This window comes from Homo sapiens, chromosome 5 (assembly GCF_000001405.40).
Source record: "Homo sapiens chromosome 5, GRCh38.p14 Primary Assembly".
NCBI lineage: Eukaryota > Metazoa > Chordata > Mammalia > Primates > Hominidae > Homo > Homo sapiens.
In genome coordinates this window covers 136,748,924-136,771,268 of record NC_000005.10, presented here as the reverse complement: position 1 = coordinate 136,771,268, position 22,345 = coordinate 136,748,924, and the positions used below count along the sequence as shown (strand labels likewise).

At 41.8% G+C, this 22,345-nt stretch overlaps 1 long non-coding RNA gene across 4 annotated transcripts in view, besides 1 other annotated feature; it reads right to left on the bottom strand.

Moving 5' to 3' along the window:
• Positions 970-1,059: an enhancer, noted in NCBI's record as "active region_23181". NCBI's record gives its function as "activates an Ori minimal core promoter by ATAC-STARR-seq in GM12878 lymphoblastoid cells {active_cell/tissue: GM12878}" and the evidence as "EXISTENCE:reporter gene assay evidence [ECO:0000049][PMID:35858748]".
• Positions 7,765-22,345, bottom strand: part of CTB-1I21.1 (uncharacterized) — a 28,574-nt gene continuing 13,993 nt past the window's right edge. Inside the window, exons 2-4 of one of the 4 annotated variants that reach the window (NR_188339.1) lie at positions 17,293-17,454; positions 15,833-16,909; positions 7,765-8,327 (exon numbers count right to left, since the gene is read on the bottom strand). This is a non-coding gene — a long non-coding RNA (uncharacterized CTB-1I21.1). Of the gene's footprint in view, positions 8,328-15,111; positions 16,910-17,292; positions 17,455-22,345 lie in introns of those variants that run through there. The other 3 variants (NR_188338.1, NR_188336.1, NR_188337.1) reach the window with 3 other exon arrangements.

Genomic DNA, 22,345 nt, shown 5'->3' with positions numbered 1-22,345 from the left:
TAATATGATGATTAAATTAAATAAAGCATATGAAAGCACGTCTACAGATTATACCCCCACACTAATGTAAACTGTGATTTTTGGGAAGAACACAGATGTGGAATCACAGATGGGCTTGAAGTTCTGCTTGGCTTCTTCCTACCTATGTGACCTTATGCTTAACCTCTTTGAGCCCTGGCCTTTCCATTTGTGAAAAAGGGAACAGGCCTCCCACAGGAGCCCGCGTGGTGCTTAAATAAGATAGCAGGTGATTCGACACCTGCATGGATCAGATATACGGCAGGGGCTTAGTGAGTGCCAGAGCCTCCTCTTCTCCACAGATAGACGGGATCCTTCAAAGGGCTGGGGTGGGCCCGCTGGCTCCCTAGGTGGCTCCGCTGTGCTTGTTACTTCTGGAGCCTGTTGTGTCCACTCAACCCCATGCTTGGGTGTCAGATTCATCTTTTTTGAGAGCTTTGGTATTTAAAGGAAAAAGCCCCTTTCAAGGTGCTCCATAACTTGGGAGGAGTTGGCTGGGGTCTCTCTTGCTCTCTTCATTGGAAGAGAAGCGACTTCTCTTCTGGGATCTTGGCTCCAGCCATGCATACTGCTTCATTTCCTTCCTCTCTGACTCCTTGCAGGTCTTTCCTCATCCAGTCTTTACCCATGTCATCCCTCCTTCCTGGAGTCCTTCCCCAACCTCTCCACATACCACAATGTACTCCATGCTTAAAGGCATGCTATGGCTTCAGTCTTTTTGAGCCTTTCCTTCTCTGCTGCGACTTTATCTCTCCCTGAAAGCATATATTATCTTATTTGATTTCAGTGTTCCATTGAGGGTGTGCCCTCATCTCCTGAGGAGATTATACTTTTTTTAGGACAGGCACTGTGTCCCTTGCAGGTCTAGTGAGGGTGCCAGGTGAATAGTAGGAAAGCAGTGTCTATTTACCATGTTGAAGGAAAACGAAATATGTCAGCTCAGCGAGCAGTGAGCCTAGACAGCCACTTGGGGGCGATGAAGGACCAGACTGTGAGTGGGCTGGAGCATCTGAATGAGGAGCCCAGGCCAGAGACTTAGGGAGCAGGGGCTGTTGCATCACAGTCAGAGAAAGGTTCTCCGAGGAGGGTCAGAGGGCCGAAAACCCAGCAGAGGAAATGGCCCAGAGCCAGGCCCCCTCAAACGTCCCACGCTTGTTAATATGCCTCCAGTCATCCCAGAAGGGCCCGGGGCTGCCTCTGGAGTGCCCAGAAATCTGAGAGCCGAGGAGTTCTTCCAAGGGAGCATGTCCCCTCTGTACCAGACACAGTGCTGATGTAGGGGGTTCCTGACCTTCAGGGCAGCCGGATTAACCCTGGCACAGACCAGGATCATGGTTGGAGGATGGGGGGAGATCATACTTTCTGTGGCCTCAAGAAGCCAAGAAAAATACCCCAGAGCGGAGAAATCCACAGATCCCACCACACTGTGCTCTGAAAGCTGCTGCTAACAAGCCTTAGCTTCTTAGCAGCCAGTGCCAATCAATTTGGGGAAATTTGCCAGATGGGCTTTATCCTGGCTGGTGCTCCCAGCCTAGCTCTGCTGCCCCACCATGGGCCCCCGCTCCTTGCTCTGAGCTGACAAGAACTACCTCCTTCCCTTGGTGATGTGCGATTGTCACCCTCCTTGGTCTCACCCACACAGCCTCAGGGACACCTCCCAGGTTCAGGCAGGAGTAGCTCTAGGGTGCATAGGGGTTTCATTATTTTTCAGCAGCCATATTTCCTTTAGGCCTTGGCCTTCGTGGGACTTGTGGGAGGGTTTACCTCTGCCCTGTGTTCAAGGTGAAGGTTGTTGAGGTCATGGTTTGTTGGAGGGAAGCTTTGGCCGCAGTTGCAGAGGTAAAGCAGTGGTTGGTGGGGTGAGAACATGTGGTGCGCTGGCCTGGGTGGCCCAGTGGGATTTCTTTCCCCTGGTGTCTGGATGAACGTCCTGGGGAAGCACCCTTTGCATGACAGCTGCAGTTAATTCTGATTTATGGCCTCTGAGCCTCCCACCACCACCTGGAGAAGGAGCTGTCAAAATGGCTTTGTGGCAGACGTTGCTGGTATTTTTATACTGGTGCTCCCTGCCCTGGTCCTGGTGTGGCCTGTGCACCCTCTGTCTGCTAGCTCTGTGGAGAGAAGGCCAGCTCATCCTGGCCCTGCCTGGCTTGGCCCACTTAACCCAGGTCTGGCTGGCTATGCCCTCTCCCTCCTGCCCAGCTCATCTTCCCTTGACTGGCCTTGCTGACGCCCTCCCTGACAGATCCTATCCCTGCCCCTGCCCTGTCCCTTGGCTGCTAGGTGTTCCTTTGGTCCTCTCTGCACTTGCTCTTTCTCACCTGTGACTAATCTTTAGTGACATATCCTTCTCATTCTGGCCGTGAGCCCCTGGAGTATAAAACCGTGGTTGCTAGTCTCTGTTAAATCAATTTAATAAATGTTAACTGAGCATCCTCCATGTGCCAGGCGCTAGCTAGGTGCCAGCAATGCTCATGGAGCTAGACTAGCAGAGAAACACACAACACAAAGGTCACGGGTAGTGACAAATGCTACAAAAAAGCAAACAGTGCATGCGATTGAGATCTACTTTCAACACATCAGAGGTAAGTGGCAGTCATATTGAAACCTGAAAAAAGAAGGTGCCCAAGGGTGAGAGTCCTGTCTGTCTCTCAGACGGCTGCACCCCACTGCCCATGTAGACAGGAAGAGCATCTAGCTGAGGGTACAGCAAGTGCAAAGGCCAGGAGGTAAAACTAGCTTACATTTCTAGAAACTGATGAATGAGCAGTGTGAATTCAGTGGTTGATAGGAGATGAAATACTGCCAAATTTCACATGTCCAAGCTGAACTCATTTCCCCACAAAACCTGTCCCTCCTCTTATCTTTCCCATCTCCATTCTTCCACTGCTCAGGGGCCAAACTTCGCAGCTATCCTTGACCCTCTCTCTCACTCTGTAGCCGCTCTCTCAGCAAGTCCAGTCAGCTTCATTGTGCATGATGGCCATCCTAGTTCAACTCCACCTGGAGTGAGCAGGAGTCTCGTACCTGATTTCTACCCCTAAGCAGCCAGAAGGAACCTTTGAAAATGTAAGTTAGATGACAGCACTGTGCTGCTCAAATTCTTCTGTAGCTCACATCTCATTCAGAGCATAACCCGCAAGTGCATACGGTGACCCACAAGGCCCGGCATGCACTCTGCCTCTCCTATCCACTCTGCTCCAGCAGCAGCCTTGATTTCTTCATACATGCAAAGCACACACCCTACCTCAGGGCCTTTGCACCTACTCTTCTCTCAGCTGGAGGACTCCCTGTTGCATCCCCTTATACACACTTATCCACATGGCTTTTTATGTCTCTGCTTGAATATCAACTTATTATGGAGGCTTCTTACCAACCTGTCTACTCCTCCTCAATGTCTCCATCACCCACCCTGTGCACTTTCTTTGTTTTTTCTTTCTTTTTTTTTTTTTTTGAGATGGAGTCTTTCTCTGTCACCGGGCTGGAGTGCAGTGGCATGATCTCGGCGCACTGCAACCTCCAACTCCCAGGTGCAAGCAATTTTCCTGCCTCAGCCTCCCCAGTAGCAACCTCTGCCTCCAAGGTTCAAGCGATTCTCCTGCCTCAGCCTCCCAAGCAGCTGGAACTACAGGTGCGCACCATGACATCCAGCTAATTTTTGTATTTTTAGTAGAGATGGGGTTTCACCATGTTGGCCAGGATGGTTTCCATCTCCTGACCTCGTGATCCGCCTGCCTTGGCCTTCCAAAGCCCTGGGATTACAGGCATGAGCCACCGCGCCCGGCCAGCACTTTCTATTTTTCTCCCTGACATTTATCACCCTTTGATGCATTAGTTGTTTGTTTGTTGTCTGTTCCCCTTAGGATGGAAGCTCATTGGATGTAGGGACTTCATTCTGTTCATTGCTGTATCTCCAACACCTGCCTGGCATGTGGCAGATCCCCCAAAATATTTTGGAGGTCAGAAACATACACAGGGGTGGAACATGGAGAATGTAATAGACAGTATTAAGCACTGTAGGTTTTATTCTAAAAGCAGTAAGAAGCCATTGGGAAGTTTGTTTTTATTTTTGTTTTTTTGAGACAGAGTCTTGCTCTGTCACCAAGGCTGAGTGCAATGGTGCAATCTCGGCCAACTGCAACCTCCACCTCCTGGGCTCAAGCGATCCTCCCACCTTAGCCTCCTGAGTAGCTGGGACTACAGGCATGTGCCATCAAACCTGGCTAATTTTTGTATTTTTTATAGAGACAGGGTTTTGACATGTTGCCCAGGCTGGCCTTGAACACCTAGGCTCAAGCAATACACCTGCCTTGGCCTCCCAAAGTGCTGAGATTACAAATGTGAGCCATCATGCCTGGCCCCACTGGGAAGTTTTAAGCAGTAGAGAATGTGATCTGCTTTGCATTTTGAGTTTACTGTGGATATATTATGGAGAATGACTGGAAGCAGGGGTCCAGAGATGGAACTCAGGGAATGTGCTGGTGGCTTGCATCAGGATGGTCAGTGGATGTGAAGAGAAGAATGTGAGCAAAGTAATTGGCAGATGAGCTGGAAAGAAGCTGGTGCCCAGGGTCACAGACTCCTCATATGGCCCCAGGCCTCTGTGACTCACCGTCAGCCAGGCTGGGCACTGAGGAGGGCCTGCTGTGCTGGCGCTCAGGCAGATGCAGGGAGTTTAGACTCTGAATTCTTCTGCAGATGGGAGTCTGAACTGAACCATCCACACTTCTCCCTTCATGCCCAACGATGAACATCTTAAGAGCAAGGCTCTGTCTGTTTGCAACACTCTTCATTCCACTCCTCACACATACACACTGCTGAAGACATTCAACACTGCTGGAGGTTGGAGTCTCTGACAGTAAATGCAGAGACAAACTGGAATGCAAGTTGTCTATTAGGTCATGCCTGTAATCCCAGCACTTTGGGAGGCCAAGGCGGGTGGATCACCTGAGGTCGGGTGTTCAAGACCAGCCTGACCAACATGGAGAAACCCCATTTCTACTAAAAACACAAAATTAGCTGGATGTGGTGGCGGATGTCTATAATCCCAGTTCCTCAGGAGGCTGAGGCAGGAGAATCACTTGAACCCGGGAGGTGGAGGTTGCGGTGATCTGAGATCATGCCATTGCACTCCAGCCTGGGCAACAAGAGCGAAACTCCCTCTCAAACAAACAAACAAACAAACAAAAAACAAGATGTCTATTAGGAATGAACACCTGTGGAAGGAAGGGGAGGAAGCAGGAGGATGGGTCAGAGGGAAAAATCAAAATACAATGTATACCTGACAAAGCCTTGGCCCACTTGATAAGGAGCATGGGAGCAAAGATCACCCATCAGTGTTGGGCTGAGCTGAAATGGCTGGCCCTATACCACTGAATACAGGCTGCCCAGGAAGGTGAGACCCAGGCTCTTGGCAGCTGAGGCAGATCCAAGAGGAGCTGACAGCTGGAGGTGCCTGCTGTATTCCCCCAGCAGCTGGGGAGCAAGTCCTTCCTTGAAGGGGATTTGGGTGGCTTGTCTCTGAGTGTACTATGGACGATATACAATTGCTGAGGGCTACTTGAGTGAAGCCCACTGTTCCTCCCCCTATGATATAAACTGGTCCCCAAGAAGAGTTAGCAACAGCTTGGGCTCTTTCTAGGCCTCTGAGCCAACTGGCCTGAATTGAGCACATGAACTAGACGCTAGTCTTGTATCAAAGAATCTCTTCAGACTCCAAAGAATACTTACAGATGAGATTCATTGAGAGGGCAATTCAGAGTCATTTCAGCCTCTGTTATGTTGTGGAAAGATATAGGCCTTGTGATCCCAGACAGTCTAGTGTTCCAATATGGTTCTGCCAAACACTAGCTCATGAGCCCAGGCAAGTTGACAAGCTGTCTGGAGGTATTTTCCCTCTTCTGTAGAATGTGTGTAATGATATTCAGAAGATAGGGCTGTCTCACTAATCTTGTCTTCTCATTGGCCTGCAGGTTTTGTTGAATGAATGAGTACCATTTGTTGTCAGATACTTGCACCCTTGTCTCACGCAGGTCACAGCAGTCATAAGTTCCTGGAGGGCAGGGGCTTCTATTCACACTCACAGAGATGTGAACAGGAGCCACCCCTATTTTAGCACTTCTCAGTGCATGAGATTTCTTTGTCTAATTGCCACTTCTCCAGCCTGTGTGCATTGCCATTTTCATGACTGAAAATGTAGGGCCTGGTCCAGAGCCTGGCCCAGAGTTGGCCCCCAAAACACATTAGTTGGAATGGTTGACACTAGCCGTAACATCCTGGGGATTCAACATCAACCCAACAGTCAACTCATGACATCCTTTGAGAACAAGTCCCAATTTTACCCTGACCTCAGCCCATCTTTCTGGAATCTCATTTTCATGGCAGGCTATACGCTGCCCCAGCTGGATTATAAAGTTGATCAAGAGTGGAGCATTTGCCATAGCTCACTGGTTCAGAGGCATTTTAATGTCACCCTGGTAAGCCTGTCTAAATTTCTTCCTGTCAGCTCTCTTTCACTTAGAAATATTTTTTTTTCTCTAGGTTGTGAGATAAAAGATTGCATATCCACAGAGGAAAACATAGCCTTTGATAGGACTCCAAATAATTTATGTTTGGCCAATTCAGCAAATTGCCCCTTGGTTGTTCAAAGCACAGTCCTTCACTTTGCTCCATAAAGTCTTGTGTAGTAGGATAAGCACCTGCTATGGACCTAGAAAGACCTGAATTCAAGTCCTGTGAGGTCTTGAACAAGTCTGCCCAACTTCTGAGAGCTTTGATTCCCATATCTGTGATGCTTATCTTGCAGGTTGGTTGAGAGTTTAGAAAAGTAATTGCCTGATACACTACACCTGCTCGACAGCATGCACTTATCATTTCCTTTTGCCAAGGGAAGGAGATAGAGGGTAGGCAATGCTGATGTCTGTTTTATTTAATGCCGTGTGATTTACACTCAATGTGGGGACATGGAAAGTTCTGGCATCTGCTGCATTGACTCAGGACTGAGGAGGTCAGCAGGAGTACAGGCACCTGAAGAAGTGAAAAGCCATAGTATGGCCCTGAGAGGGACTGTCACAGAAAGTAGGAGCCTCTGAATTGTGAGCCAAAAGACAGAAGATTGAGCTTCTCTCCCATCAGTACCATCAGCACTTACATTACTCTTGTGGCAGATAGAACTGAGAATATGACTGAGACCCCTGCTCTGTCCTCTGCCTTCAAGAGAGCCTGGCTGTATCCTAAACACTGAGAAGTAGGCTGTTAGGTAGACTTTTCCAGGGAGGGAGAAGGAAAAGGGTTGGGGCTTGTAAACTTATAAACCAGACTGGAAGCTCCTTAAAGGTAGGAACTATGTCTGTATGGTCACTATTGAATTCTTAGCACTGAGCCTGACACACAGGAGACATTCAATATCTGTTTAATCCAAGCCAAGTTGTACATAGATTTTTTTCCATCCATCCATCCATCCATCCATCCATCTGACACCCATTTGCTAAGGGCATACTCTGTCCTTGGTACTGGATTGGTTGGGTTTATAGAGACAAAGTCAGCCTCTTACAGCTCACAGCCTAAGCAAGGGAGACAGCCATGGGTAACCCATAGTACCAGTGGGGACCAAATTTTCTGATAGAGAGGAGCCCTAGGAGCATGAGGTAGGCATTCAACTTGTGGGAGGTAGAGAAAGACAAAAAAAAAAATTCTGAAGGAAGGGCAGGCAAATCAAATAAAGACACAGGTCATCTAGTTCAAAGCTGTGATTTTCCATCGTCTCTTTATAAAGTTTCTTTGGATAGTAACATAAGGATATCTGTAAAATAGCTGGCCCTAGGTATTTGCTCTCCAAAACACTGCAGTTGTCATCATTATCATCATCTTCACTGCTGTCAACACTGTTTGCTCTGCAGGGAAGGTAGAGGAGAGTACCTGTGTCTTGCTGGTTTGTGTTGCACATTTACACCATCCTGTCCCATCTATGCTTAGGGCCAGGTCTCTTAGTTTCCTCAAAGTTTAGAAGGTCTCGGAGAAAGGAGTGACCTGAGTAAGATGGGGGAAAACTTCCAGGGTCCACAGGGGATCCTGAGGCTCTGAAGGACTTGAGAGGATAGTGAGGCAATTTGCTTGACTTTTGACCTTTCTTCCTGGGTCTTCCCCTCCTCAGTGACAGTTGGGCCTTGTGCCATCCACCAGGTGAGATCACAGCATTTCTCTCCTCTGGAGGACACAGCATCAAAGTGCCATCTTGGAAGCAGAGACCAGCCCTCACCAGACAACCAAACCTCCTGAATCCTTGATCTTGAACTTCTCAGCCTCCAGAACTGTGAGAAAATAAATGGTTGTTCTTTATAAATTACCCAGTCTCAGTTATTTTGTTATACCTGCACAAAATGAACTAAGACAGAAATTAGTCTTAGCATACTTGAGAGAAGTGAAGAGGGAGTTCAGCTCTGGTGTGGACCTAAGTTTTCGTGGAGGGTGCTAGAGGTCACTAGTGCTGGCTTTGGGAAGCACACTTTGTTCAGGGCATGGGACACATGCCTATCAATCCAGGCTTTCCCAAAGGCTCTTGATTATGAGTTCTGTCCTCATAGTAGATAGGAGACACTGCAGACATTCACATGTGGGAAGACTGATGGGGAGCTCCAGCATTCAGATTTCCATCAAACCACACATCCTCAGCCTCAACGTGGTATGAACCAGCCCATGGCCAACACACCACTGTTTCTTTTTGTTGCAAGGTGGCCAGTTCAGATTGGCACTCAGAAGGGAAGGTTTCTAACTGAACCAAATGCCAACCAACAACACTCAACCTTCTAATCAGGAGACAATTTAGTGGTGAGTGAGTACTTCCAGGTCTGGCTGTATGCTAGTTACATGCAAAATAAAATCTAATAGATCTAATCAAGTCATTCAAATACATTTATTTGTGCTTAATTAGGAGCAAAGGGGCTATAGTGTTCAACATCTCTATTCTCTTGGCATTTGGCTTCTAAAATTCACTGCTATGGCCTATGCTTCTCCAAAACATGATTTTTTCCTACAAATTTGATCTCTGTGTGTGTGTGTGTGTGTGTGTGTGTGTGTGTGTGTGTGTGCTACAAATTATTGGGGGGTTTATAACCACATTTGATAATAAATTAACACATTGCTAGAATTTACACTTCTGGTCTAAAAAGCATAGAGGGAAGTGATCCAACACCTAACTTCTCTGCAGTGTAGGAAATTATTGAGTGAAAAGGGTCTGGCTGATTGGAAATTATATCCTCCTAACAAAAATCCACTATGTTTCTCTCCTTCATATGCATGTGAACCCGTGTTCTCTCATATTCTCTTGCTGTCTCTCATACATGTGGTAGGAGGCAAAAGAAAAGGGTTTTCTGGAATGTTCTGGAGCTTATGGAAATTGTTTCCATTTTTCAGGCTTTTAGAGGTGGTAACAATGCAAAATACTACTTGGTTTTCAGTGTGGCTCTGATAGGGAGACATTGATTGTATCTCATAAATGAATCTTGTCCAGACCTATATGGCCTAGTGAGAGTTACTGATTTCTAAGTAGTCATGCTGGAAGACTGTGCACCTGTTCCACAGGTGCTTTGGTTGCTCTAAACAAGCCATTCAGTAACTCTCACTCTTCTTTTAAGATGGCCTTCAGGGTCATTTTACAAATTATACAAGAAATTTATTCTTGTTATCATCCCATCATTGTGCAGAAGAGCAAGCAGAGTGGCGAGACAGTAGAGTTCAAGGTACTCAGCCATCAGGCTAAACTCGTAATGACCTTGGGCTATTTTCCAACATTTAAAACCCTCCTCCCAAGACAACAATTTGACCTCATTAAGGAGATATAAAAAGAATATGGCATAAGCTTGGGAAGTAACTTTTGTTCGTTTAGTTAGTTTTCTTTCCAACTTTTATTTTAGGTTCAAGGAATGTGCAGGTTTGTTACATGGGTAAATTGTGTATAGTGGGGGCTTTGTAGACAGATGATTTTGTCACTCAGGTAATCAGCATAATACCCAATTGGTAGTTTTTCAATCCTCACCCCCCTCCTACCCTCCACCCTCAAGTAGGCCTCTTTGTGTCCACGTATACTCAATGTTTAGCTCCCACTTATAAGTGAGAACATGTAGTATTTGGTTTTATGTTCCCGTATTAATTCACTTAAGATAATCACCTCCAGCTTCATCCATGTTGCTGCCAAGAGCATGATTTCATTTTTATGGCTGCATAGTATTCTGTGGTGTATATGCACCACATTTTCTTTATCCAATCCATTATTGATGGGCATTTAGATTGATTCCATGTCTTCGGTATTGTGACTAGTGCTGTGATGAACATGTGTGTGTGTGTCTCTTTATGATAGAATGACTTATATTCCTTTGGGTATGTACCCACTAATGGGATTGCTGTGTCAAATTATAATTCTAAGTTCTCTCAGAAATCTCTAGACTGCTTTCCACTGAATTAATTTACTAATGACTGAAACTAATGACTGAACTAATTTACATTCCCACCAGTAGTATATAAGCATTCCCTTTTCTCCACAACCTTGCCAGCACGTGCTGTTTATTGATTTTATTAATAATAGTTATTCTGACTAGTGTGAGGTGGCATCTCATTGTAGTTTAGATTTGCATTTCCCTAATGATTAGTGATACTGAGCATTTTTTAATATACTTTTTGGCCATGTGTATGTCTCTTTTGAGAAGTGTCTGCTCATGTCATTTGCCCATCTTTAAATGAGGCTGTTTGTTTATTGCTTGTTGATTTATTTAAGTTCCTTATAGATTCTGGATATTAGACACTTGTTGGGGTCTTCTGTGGCTCCACATGAATTTAAGGATTGTTTTGGCCATTCCTTAAAAAATGACATTGGAATTTTGACAGGAATTACATTGAATCTGTAGATTGTTTTGGGTAGTATGGGCATTTTCACATTAATTCTTCCAATTCATGTACATGCGATATCTTCCCATTTATTTCTGTTCTCTTCAATTTCTTTCATCAGTGTTTTACAGGTTCAGTACACAGATCTTTTACCTCCTTGATTAAATTTAGACCTAAGTATTAATTTTTTTGGTTGCTATTGTAAGTGGGATTACTTACTTAATTTGATATTCAGATAGCTTGTTATTAGTATAAGGAAATGTTCCTCATTTTTGTATGTTGATTTTGTAATCTGAAACTTTACTGAATTTATCAGTTTTAACAGATTTTTAGTGAAGCATTTATGTTTTCCATACATAAGATCATGTCATCAGCAAATAGAGATAATTTTACTTCTTCCCTTTCTATTAGAATGTCTCTTGTTTCTTTCTCATGCTTAATTGCTCTGGCTAGAACATCCAATACTATGTTGAAAAGAAGTGGTGAGAGTGGCATCCTTGTCTTGTCCCTGATCGCAGATGAACAGCTTTCAAATTTTCATCGAGAATGATGTTAGCTACGGGTTTGTCATGTATGGGCTTTGTTTTGTTCAGATAATTCCCTGTATACCTAATCTGTTGAGAGTTTTTTCTTAATCATGAAGGAACGTTGAATTTTGTCAAATAGTTTTTATGTATCTGTTGAGATGATCATATAACGTTTATCCTTCATTTCATTAATGTGGTATATTTCATTTATTGATTTGCATATATTGAAGCATCATTGCATCCCAGGGATAAATCCTACTTGTTCATGGTAAATTATTCTTTCAATGTGCTCTTTAATTTAGTTTGCTGATATTTTATTGAGGATTTTACATCTGTGTTCACCAGGGATATTGGCTTGTAATTTTCTTTTCTTGTAGTGTCCTTGTCTGGCCTTGGTAAAAAGGTAATGCTAGCCTTGTAAAACAAGTTCAGAAGTATTCTTTCTACCATGATTTTTTGGGAAGGATTCGTGAAGAATTTGTATTAGTTCTTCTTTAAGTGTTGGAAAGAATCAGTAGTGAAGCTGTCTGATTCTGGGCTTTTCTTTGGTGAGAGATTTTTTTTTTTTTAACTACTGATTCAATCCCTTACTCATGATTTGACCAGAAAATCTGGTCAAATCAGATTTTCTATTTCTTCATTCTTCATTCTTGGTAGGTTGTATGTATCTAGGAATTTATCCATTTGTTCTTGGTTTTACAATTTGTTGGCATATACTTGTTCATATTAGTTTCTTATTATCTATTGTATTTTGGTGGTATCAGTTGTAATGTCTCCTCTTTCATTTGTGATGTTATTTATTTGAGCAGTTATTCTTTTTTTCCTAGTTGGTCTAGCTAAGGGTTTGTCTTTTCTTTTTTAACCTTTTCAAAAAACTAACTTTCAGTTTTATCAATGTTTCTATTGTTTTTCTAGTCTCTATTTCAGTTATTTCTACTCTGATCTTTGCTATGTCCTCTCTTCTGCTCACTTTGGGCTTAGTTTGTTCTTTTACCAATTTATTGAGTTATAACAGTAGATTGTGAATTTTTTTTATATATAGGTATTTGTTGCTATAAATTTTCCTCTTAGGGCTGCTTTTCCTAAGTTTTGGTATGTTGTGTTTTCATTTGTGTTTGTCTCAAGGTATTTTTTATTTCCTTTTTTATTTCTTCTGTGACCTATTAGTGTGCTCCACATCACTAATCATTAGGGAAATGCAAGTCTATTTGCTGATGACATGATCTTATGTATAGAAAACCATAAATGCATCACCAAAAAACTGTTAAAACTGATAAATTCTGTAAAGTTTCAGGTTACAAAATCAACATACAAAAATTAGGAACATTTCCTTATACTAATAACAAGCTATCTGAATAGCAAATTAAGTAAGTAATCCCACTTACAATAGCAACCAAAAAAATTAAATACTTAGGTCTAAATTTAATCAAGGAGGTAAAAGATCTGTGTACTGAAACTGTAACAGAAATATGTGCCACATATTTCTGTATTTTCCAAGATTTCTCCTGTTATTGATTTATAGTTTTATGCCATTGAGATCTGAAATGATACGTGATATGACCTCATTCCTCTTACATGTGTTGAGATTTGTTTTGTGGCCTAAAATATGATCTACCTTGGAAGATGTTCCCTGTGTACTTCAGAAGAGTGTGTATTTTGTTGTTGGATGGAATGTGCTGTATATGTCTGTCAGGTCCATTTGGTCTAAAGTATAATTCAAGACCAATGTTTATTAATTTTCTGTCTAGATAATATGCCCATTGTCCAAAGTGGGGTATTGAGGCACCATACTATAATAGTAACTCATTCTATCTCTCCCTTCAGATTATTTAATAATTGCTTTACAAATTTAGGTGCTCCAATATTGGGGGCATATATATTTGCAATGTTACAAATATATATTTGTATATTCTTTATTATTATGTAATCATGTTTGTCTCTTTTTATAGTTTTTGACTTAAAGTGTATTTTGTCTGAGATAAGCATAGTTACACTTGCTCCTTTTAGTTTCCATTTGCATGGAATATCTTTTTGCATTCCTTTACTTTCAGCCTATGTGGGTCCTTACCAGTAAAGCAAGTTTTTTCTTGTTTTTTTTCATCTATTGAGCCACTCTTTTTATTGGACGACTTAATTCATCTACATTCAATGTAATTATTGACAGTTTGGTAGGTCCCTTGTTTCTTTCTTCATCTTTTACTGTTTTCCTTTGTAGTTTGATGATTTTCTGTGGGGGTACAGTTTGAAAGCTTTTATTTTATATTTTGTGCAACTACTATAGGTTTTTGTTTTGTGGTTACCATCAGGCTTACATAAAACATGTTATCCTTAAAACGGATTACTTTAAGCTGACAATAATTGCTTTTAATTGCATACAAAACTCTACACTTTCACTGCCTTTCTCCCACCTTTTGTTTTTAATGTCGAAATTTACATTTGTTCTTGTATTTATATTTGTAAGAATTTATTGGATCCACAGTTATTTTAAATAAGTTTGTCTTACAACCTTCCTAGTAGGAATAAAGTTACTTCACACCACCCTTTCAGAATTAGAGAATTCAGGGCTTAATTGAATCCTTATCTTACACAATTAAAAAATCAACTCAAAATGGATTAAAGACTTAAAAATAAGACCCAAAACTGTAAAAATGCTAGAAGAAAACAGTGGAAAATCTCCCTAACAGTGGTCTAAGCAATGATATTTTTGGACGTAACCCTGAAAGCACAGGAAACAAAAGCAAAAATAGACAAATGGGGTTATATTAAACTAAAAAGCCTCTGCACAACAAAGGACACTACTAACAAAGTGAAGAGACAACTCATAGAAAGGGAGAAATTATTTGCAAACCATACATCTGACAAGGAGTTAATATCCAAAACATAGAAGCAACTCTAACAACTCAATAGCAAAGAAACAAAAACCTGATTTAAAAATGGGTGTTATAGTTTGGATATTTGTCCCCACCCAAATCTCATGTTGAAATCTAATCCCCAATTGTGGATGTGAGGCCTGGTGGGAGATGTTTGGGTCATGGGGGCAAATCACTCGTGCTTAGTGCTGTCATCACAACCGTGAGTTCTCACAAGATCCGGTTGATGTAAAGTGTGGCACCTCCCCTCTCTCTCTTGCTCCTGCTTTCACCATGCTTTGTGCCTGCTCCCAAGTAGCCTTCTGCCATGAGTAAAAGCTCCCTGAGGCCACTCCAGAAGCTGAGGAGATGCCGGGGCTATGCTTTCTGTATAGCCTTCAAACTGTGAGCCAATTAAACCTATTTTCTTTATAACTTACCCAATCTCAGATATTAATTTCTCACAACAAAAGAATGATCTAACATAATGGGCAAAGGACTTGAGCAGACGTTTCTCAAAGGAAGACACGCAAATGGCCAACAGGTACATTAAAGAATGCCCAGCATCACTAATCATTAGGGAAATTCAAGTTAAAACCACAATGAGATATCACCTCACATCTGTTAATGTGGCTTTTATCAAGAAGAAGAAAGATAACAAATCTTGGAGTGGATGCAGAAAAAGAAAACTCATACCCTGTTGGTGAGAATGTGATTTATACATCAATTATGGAAACTAACATGGAGGTTCCTCAAAAAATTAAAAATAGAACTACCGTATGACCTAGTAATCGCACTTCTGAATATATAAAGAAACTGAAATCAATATGTCAACAGAATATCTGTACTCTGCATGTTTATTGCAGCATTATTCACAATAGCTAAAACATGAAACAACTTAGGTATCCATCAATGGATGAGTGTATAAAGGAAATGTGAAACATACACAATAGAAAATTATTCAGCCTTAAAAAGGGAGAAATCCTGTCACTTGCATCAACACGGATGAATCTGAAGGACATTATGCTAAGTAAAATAAACCAGGCACAGAAAGACAAATGCTGCATGATCTCACTTACATGTAAAAATCTAACAAAGTTGAACTCATAGAAATAGAGAGTAGAAAGAGGCTAAGAGTGGGCTGGGAGGGAGGGAATGAGGAGTTGCTGATGAAAGGGTACAATGTTTCAGATTGAAAGGGGAATGGGAGTTGTTAATCAAAGGGTACAAAGTTTCAGAGAGACAGTAGGGATAGATTTTGAGATATATTGTATACCAGGGTGACTATAGTCAATAATACTGCATTGTATATTTCAAAACAACTAAGAGAGTAAATTTCAAATGTCTCACCATAAAAAAGATAGGTAAGCAAGGTGATGGATGTGTTAATTAGCTTGATTTAATCACACTGATTGTATGTATATGTTAAAACATCGTTTTGACACCCCACAAATGTATACAGCTATGATCTGACAATAGAACAATTTAACAGCTCACAGAACCACGTCCTAAATAAATAGTTGTTATAAACTAAAATGAATAAAAGCAAAAAAGACGTACGTGTGGATGTGGATATGCTTGGTCTATACCTGCCAGTGATGCTCTGGGACAAGAGGCTGAGGGAGTTGAGGTTTCTAAGAGGCTCTGTGGGGGCTTCCCTGCCTTCTTTGGCAGGGTCAGGCATTGCTGGAAAGCCAGGCTTTGATGTACACTGTTCTTTGAGACCTGTTTTCTCCTCCTGGCCCTTGTCAAGAGGACTAAGTCAAGCAGTGAGGGGCAGAATCACAACTTAACAAATGCCACAGGAAGTTATTGTTGGCAGTTTCCTATGTAGAGCTAGTTCAAGAACCCTCCAAAAATCTTCCTTCTGGTTACTATGTCACTTTCAGATATGTCTCAAGAAGACTTCTGTTGGAACAGGAATACATTACCTGGTTGGAAGAATACATTAATCAATAGCAGCTACTAGTAGTTTTGCAGGAAGTAGCTCACCTCCTCACCAGAAAGCTGCTTCAAGGTTCTATGGACACAGAAGCCAGGATGAGTCTTTCTCAAGAGTGAAGGTTAGGAGGAAGGGAGAAAGGATGGGAAGATGGCAGAGGTCTAGCATACAAGACTCTCCCAGAAAGGCATTTGTGGGAGTAATGTAGGGACAATTAGAAACTTGAGGCTTGAGCCTGGGAAAGGAGACCTCTGGCAAACCATGTTTTCTTGTTTTATTAGGGTGTGTTCTTGTCCCATTTTCTACAGCACTGTTTCCCTCTCCTACCCATCTACTTTGGAGAGATGCAGAGGAGACAAATACAAAGAGGGGATTAAGTTTGAAAGAATTCTACTTTCTATTTTTTTCTGAGAGGAACCCAAGGGGATTACGTTTGAAAAAATTCTACTTTGTATTATTTTTCTGGGATGAACCCAAGGTGATATTTCTCAAAGAGGTGATAAAAAACCTATTATTTGAAATTGCAGTGTAGTGTCACTAAGAGGCTATTTCATATTCAAGCCAAGAGGTTCCTGGAATGAAAGGAAACTTCTTTGTGCTTTTTCAGCTTAGTCTTGTGATTTCTGGCAGTGCCATGGGCCCAGGCAAGCAGCCTTCTGGGACAGTAGCCCTTTAAATGTCAACCAACTGCTGTCCTAGAAAGAAGAGAGAAAAACAATTAGTCTGGGCATGGCATTTGGGACTCCCTTTGCCAATACTGCTATGTATTTTGAATGCCCTTATTTATAGTTAAAATTTTCTAAGTCACCCAGGTGTGCAGGATTTGAACTATATTTTTTCATCAAATGTTTACTCTCAGAATTCAGTCTTATTCCTTTCAAGAGAGTGCTTCCCACAGAAATACAAACTACCATCAGAGAATACTGTAAACAACTCTATGCAAATAAACTAGAAAATCTAGAAAAAATGGATAAATTCCTGGACACATACACCCTCTCAAGACTAAACAAGGAAGAAGTTGAATCTCTGAATAGACCAATAACAGCCTCTAAAATTGAGACAATAATTAATAGCCTACCAACCAAAAAAAGTCCAGGACCAGACGGATTCACAGCCGAATTCTACCAGAGGTATAAAGAGGAGCAGGTACCATTCCTTCTGAAACTATTCCAATCAATAGAAAAAGAGGGAATCCTCCCTAACTCATTTGATGAGGCCAGCAGCATCCTGATACCAAAGCCTGGAAGAGACACAACAAAAAAAGAGAATTTTAGACCAATATCCCTGATGAACATCAATGCAAAAATCCTTAATAAAATACTGGCAAACCGAATCCAGTAGCACATTGAAAAGCTTATCCACCACCATCAAGTCGGCTTCATCCCTGGGATGCAAGGCTGTTTCAACATATGCAAATCAATAAACATAATCCATCACATAAACAGAACCAATGACAAAAACCACATGATTATCTCAATAGATGCAGAAAAGGCCTTTGACAAAATTCAACAGCACTTCATGCTAAAAACTGTCAATAAACTAGGTATTGATGGAACGTATCTCAAAATAATAAGAGCTATTTATGACAAACCAACAGCCAATAACACACTGAATGGGCAAAAACTGGAGGCATTCCCTTTGAAAACTGGCACAAGACAGGGATGCCCTCTCTCACCACTCCTATTCAACATAGTGTTGGAAGTTTGGCCAGGGCAATCAGGCAAGAGAAATAAATAAAGGCTATTCAATTAGGAAAAGAGGAAGTCAAGTTGTACCTGTTTGCAGATGACATGGTTGTATATTTAGAAAACCCCATCATCTCAGCTCAAAATCTCCTTAAGCTGATAAACAACTTCAGCAAAGTCTCAGGACACAAAATCAATGTGCAAAAATCACAAGCATTCCTATACACCAATAATAGACAAACAGAGAGCCAAATCGTGAGTGAATTCCCATTCACAAGATGAAGAGAATAAAATACCTACGAATCCAACTTACAAGGGATGTGAAGGATCTCTTCAAGGAGAACTACAAACCACTGCTCAACAAAATAAAAGAGGACACAAACAAATGGAAGAACATTCCATGTTCATGGATAGGAAGAATCAACATCATGAAAATGGCCATACTGTCCAAGGCAATTTATAGATTCAATGCCATCCCCATCAAGCTACCAATGACTTTCTTCACAGAATTGGAAAAAACTACTTTAAAGTTCATATGGAACCAAAAAAGAGCCTGCATTGCCAAGACAATCCTAAGCAAAAAGAACAAAGCTGGAGGCATCACACTACCTGACTTCAAACAATACTACAAGGCTACAGTAACCAAAACAGCATGGAACTGGTACCAAAAACAGATATATAGACCAATGGAACAGAACAGAGGCCTCAGAAATAACACCACACATCTACAACCATCTGATCTTTGACAAACCTGACAAAAACAAGAAATGGGGAAAGGATTCCCTATTTAATAAATGGTGCTGGGAAAACTGGCTAGCCATATGTAGAAAGCTGAAACTGGATCCCTTCCTTACACCTTATACAAAAATTAATTCAAGATGGATTAGTGACTTAAATGTTAGACCTAAAGCCATAAAAACCCTAGAAGAAAACCTAGGCAATACCATTCAGGCAAAGACTTCATGACTAAAACACAAAAAGCAGTGGCAACAAAAGCCAAAATTGACAAATGGGATCTAATTAAATTAAGGAGCTTCTGCACAGCAAAAGAAACTACCATCAGAGTGAACAGGCAACCTACAGAATGGGAGAAAATTTTTGCAATTTACCCATCTGACAAAGGGCTAATATCTGGAATCTACAAAGAACTTAAACAAATTTCCAAGAAAAAAAAACCCATCAAAAAGTGGGCAAAGGTTATGAACAGACACTTCTCAAAAGAAGACATTTATGCAGCCAAAAGACACATGAAAAAATGCTCATCGTCACTGGTCATCAGAGAAATGCAAATCAAAACGACAATGAAATGCCATCTCACACCAGTTAGAATGGTGATCGCTAAAAAGTCAGGAAACAACGAATGCTGGAGAGGATATGGAGAAATAGGAACACTTTTACACCATTGGTGGGAGTGTAAACTGGTTCAACCACTGTGGAAGACAGTGTGGCAATTCCTCAAGGATCTAGAACTAGAAATACCATTTGACCCAGCCACCCCATTACTGAGTATATACCCAAAGGATTATAAATCATGCTACTATAAAGATACATGCACACGTATGTTTATTGCAGCACTATTCACAATAGCAAAGACTTGGAACCAACCCAAATGTCCATCAATGATAGACTGGATTAAGGAAATGTGGCACATATACACCATGGAATACTATGCAGTATTGCATGAACAAGGATGAGTTCATGTCCTTTGCAGGGGCACGGATGCAGCTGGAAACCATAATTCTGAGCAAACCATCACAAGAACAGAAAACCAAACACCACATGTTCTCATTCATAGGTGGGAATTGAACAATGAGAACACTTGGACACAGGGCAGGGAACATCATACCCTGGGGCCTGTCCTGGGGTAGGGGGCAGAGGGAGGGATAGCATTAGAAGAAATACCTAGTGTAAATGATGAGTTAATGGGTGCAGCAAACCAACATGGCACATGTATACCTATGTAACAAACCTGCACGTTGTGCACATGTACCCTAGAACTTAAGGTATAATAAATAAGACAGACAAACCAAAAAAAAAAAAGCAAAAATTCTAATATTCACCCACCTCTTTTATTAGCTGTGGAGTTTTCAGGTAAAAAATAAATGTTTAATTGGCAAAAAAAAAAGTGCTTCCTTGCTAGTGGGTTAATAGCATCCAACTGGTAGATTGTTGTATGGATTATATGCTGTAATGTCCCTAGAAATCCGGAACTCAAGAGTTTGGTCTCTGTGCCTATTGTGCTATATAGCCTTTCACATTTTGTGTAACCTCTTCTGGCTCGCTTTTCTCAATGGCAAAATAATAATAATAATTCAGGCATGTACTGTCTAGTTTTTTTTTATGTTTGTTTGGTGTTTTCTGCTCTTTAGTGATAGGGAAAATAAAAGCATACATTGGCAAACAATGTAAAACCTTATTCAATAACAGATGGAAACTAGGAGGATGTGGACAATCACCAGTGAGGCTCCTGCACAGCTCTTTTGAATGCAGCCCACACAGGTCCAGTATGTGATAAGACTGGGCCTTTAAAAATTCATACCAAATCTCACAGTTTCTATCCATGCACAAATTCCATGCTGGCTCAGGGTAATTTCTGCAAAGTGACTGTGCCTTTCACATAATTTATGTTCTCTTTTCACTCTGTGGGGGCTGTAGGCAGTTGCCTGCAGGAGTGTGAATTTGATGAAGTCATCAGCCAGCTCTGTGCTGTTCCTGGATGGGCTGGTGCTTCCGGACCCTGCTGGGCGGAAAGGCTGAGGAAAGCTCTCAATCTGTGCACCAAAAAGGGTGTAATGACTCAGCTAGGAACCCCAATAACCAAAGAGGGAAAACATGGCACTGCATTCCTTCAGTAAAAGGCAACTCTTATTCTCCTTCGAGTCATCCTGGGCCTGAACAAGCTCTTGGAATTATAAAGCCTGATTCCTCAGGTCAGCATAATGCGTCTAAAGACCACAGGAGAATTTCCTGATCCAGGAAGCTTGGGGTGGGATGGAGGGAGTGGTGTGTATGTGTGTGCACATGCGTTTATGTGTTTTAGGGAGGTAGGGATGGAAAGGGTCTGCTGTTACTGAGAATCCACAGTCTTTTGGGGAATAGGCTTCTTGCATCTGTGATGTAATGAGGTATATGTCCCAGAAGGCTTGAGTCAACAGGCCCCTCCAGGGAGCACCAGGACTGGTACTTTGGTTTCCAGATATTTGGGGTGGGGGTGAGTTGGAGGATCCCTCTTGCCTTTGAAGTTGAGCCTCTCTGGGTAGCTTATCTCACTATAAAGACATTGCTTTTTTATATCCAATTATGGTCCCACAGAAGGATGTTCTTTACTGGATCACAAATCTCTTCAAGTCACCAAAGGATACTGAACACTCACTCTATGGCAGGCGTTCTGTATCAGAAACTAAGGAAAAGAGTGAATAAGATGGTGGTTCTGAGTTCAGGAAACTTACAAAACAGCAAAAGCTTCCTGTGAGCTAGCAGTATACCAGGCTCTGTCCTAAGTCTTTAACATTTAGTCCTCGCAACAGCCCTATGCAGTAGTTGCATTAATATTGTTGTTACTTTAGATATGAAAAATGGAGTCATGGATTAAATGACCTAAATTAATACAGCTAGTCAATTGTAGAGCCAGGCAGTGTGACTCTAGGGTTGATGATTAAACTATTATGGTTGCTCAGCAGTTTGAAGACCAGCCTGAGAAAAATGGTGAAATGCTGTCTTTACTAAAAATACAAAAAAATAAATAAATAGCTGGGTGTGGTGGTGCAGGTCTGTGGTCCCAGCTACTCAGGAGGCTGAGATGGGAGGATCACCTGAGCCCAGGGAGGTTGAAGCTGTGGTGAGCCACGATGGCGCACACTGAACTCCAGCCTGGGCAACAGAGTGAGACCCTGCCTTAAAAACAAACAAGCAAAAACACTATTATTGTTTGCTGCATTAGTCTATCAAGAAGAGAACATACAGAAAAATATAATGCGTCAAGTGCTATGGAGGGGTAAGTACACAGACTGTGAGAGCAAAGAGAATGATGTATGGGAAGGGGAGAGTGACCAGACACTGCTTCCCAGAGGAAGTGACATCTGAGCTGAGCTCTAACATTGATTGCTCACTAGCCAGGCAAAATGGGGATGTGGGTTTCAGGCAGAGAAAAAGAAAGTGCAAAAGTCTCACAGTGAGAGAGAGCATGGTTTATTGATATTTAAGGAATGGAAGGAATTCAGTGAGGTTGAATCATAAATTTCACAGCAGGAAATATTCAGACATGAGATTGCAAAGGTTTGTTTATCCATTCAACATTTATTTAGCACCCACAATATGTCAGACAATGTGTTAGACTCAAGTAAGATATCAGTTGAAAAAGATACGGTGTTTGCCATCATGGGACTTATAGTCTATAAAATGAAATGACATCTAGTCTCACCTGGCAGAAAAAAAAAATAATTAAAC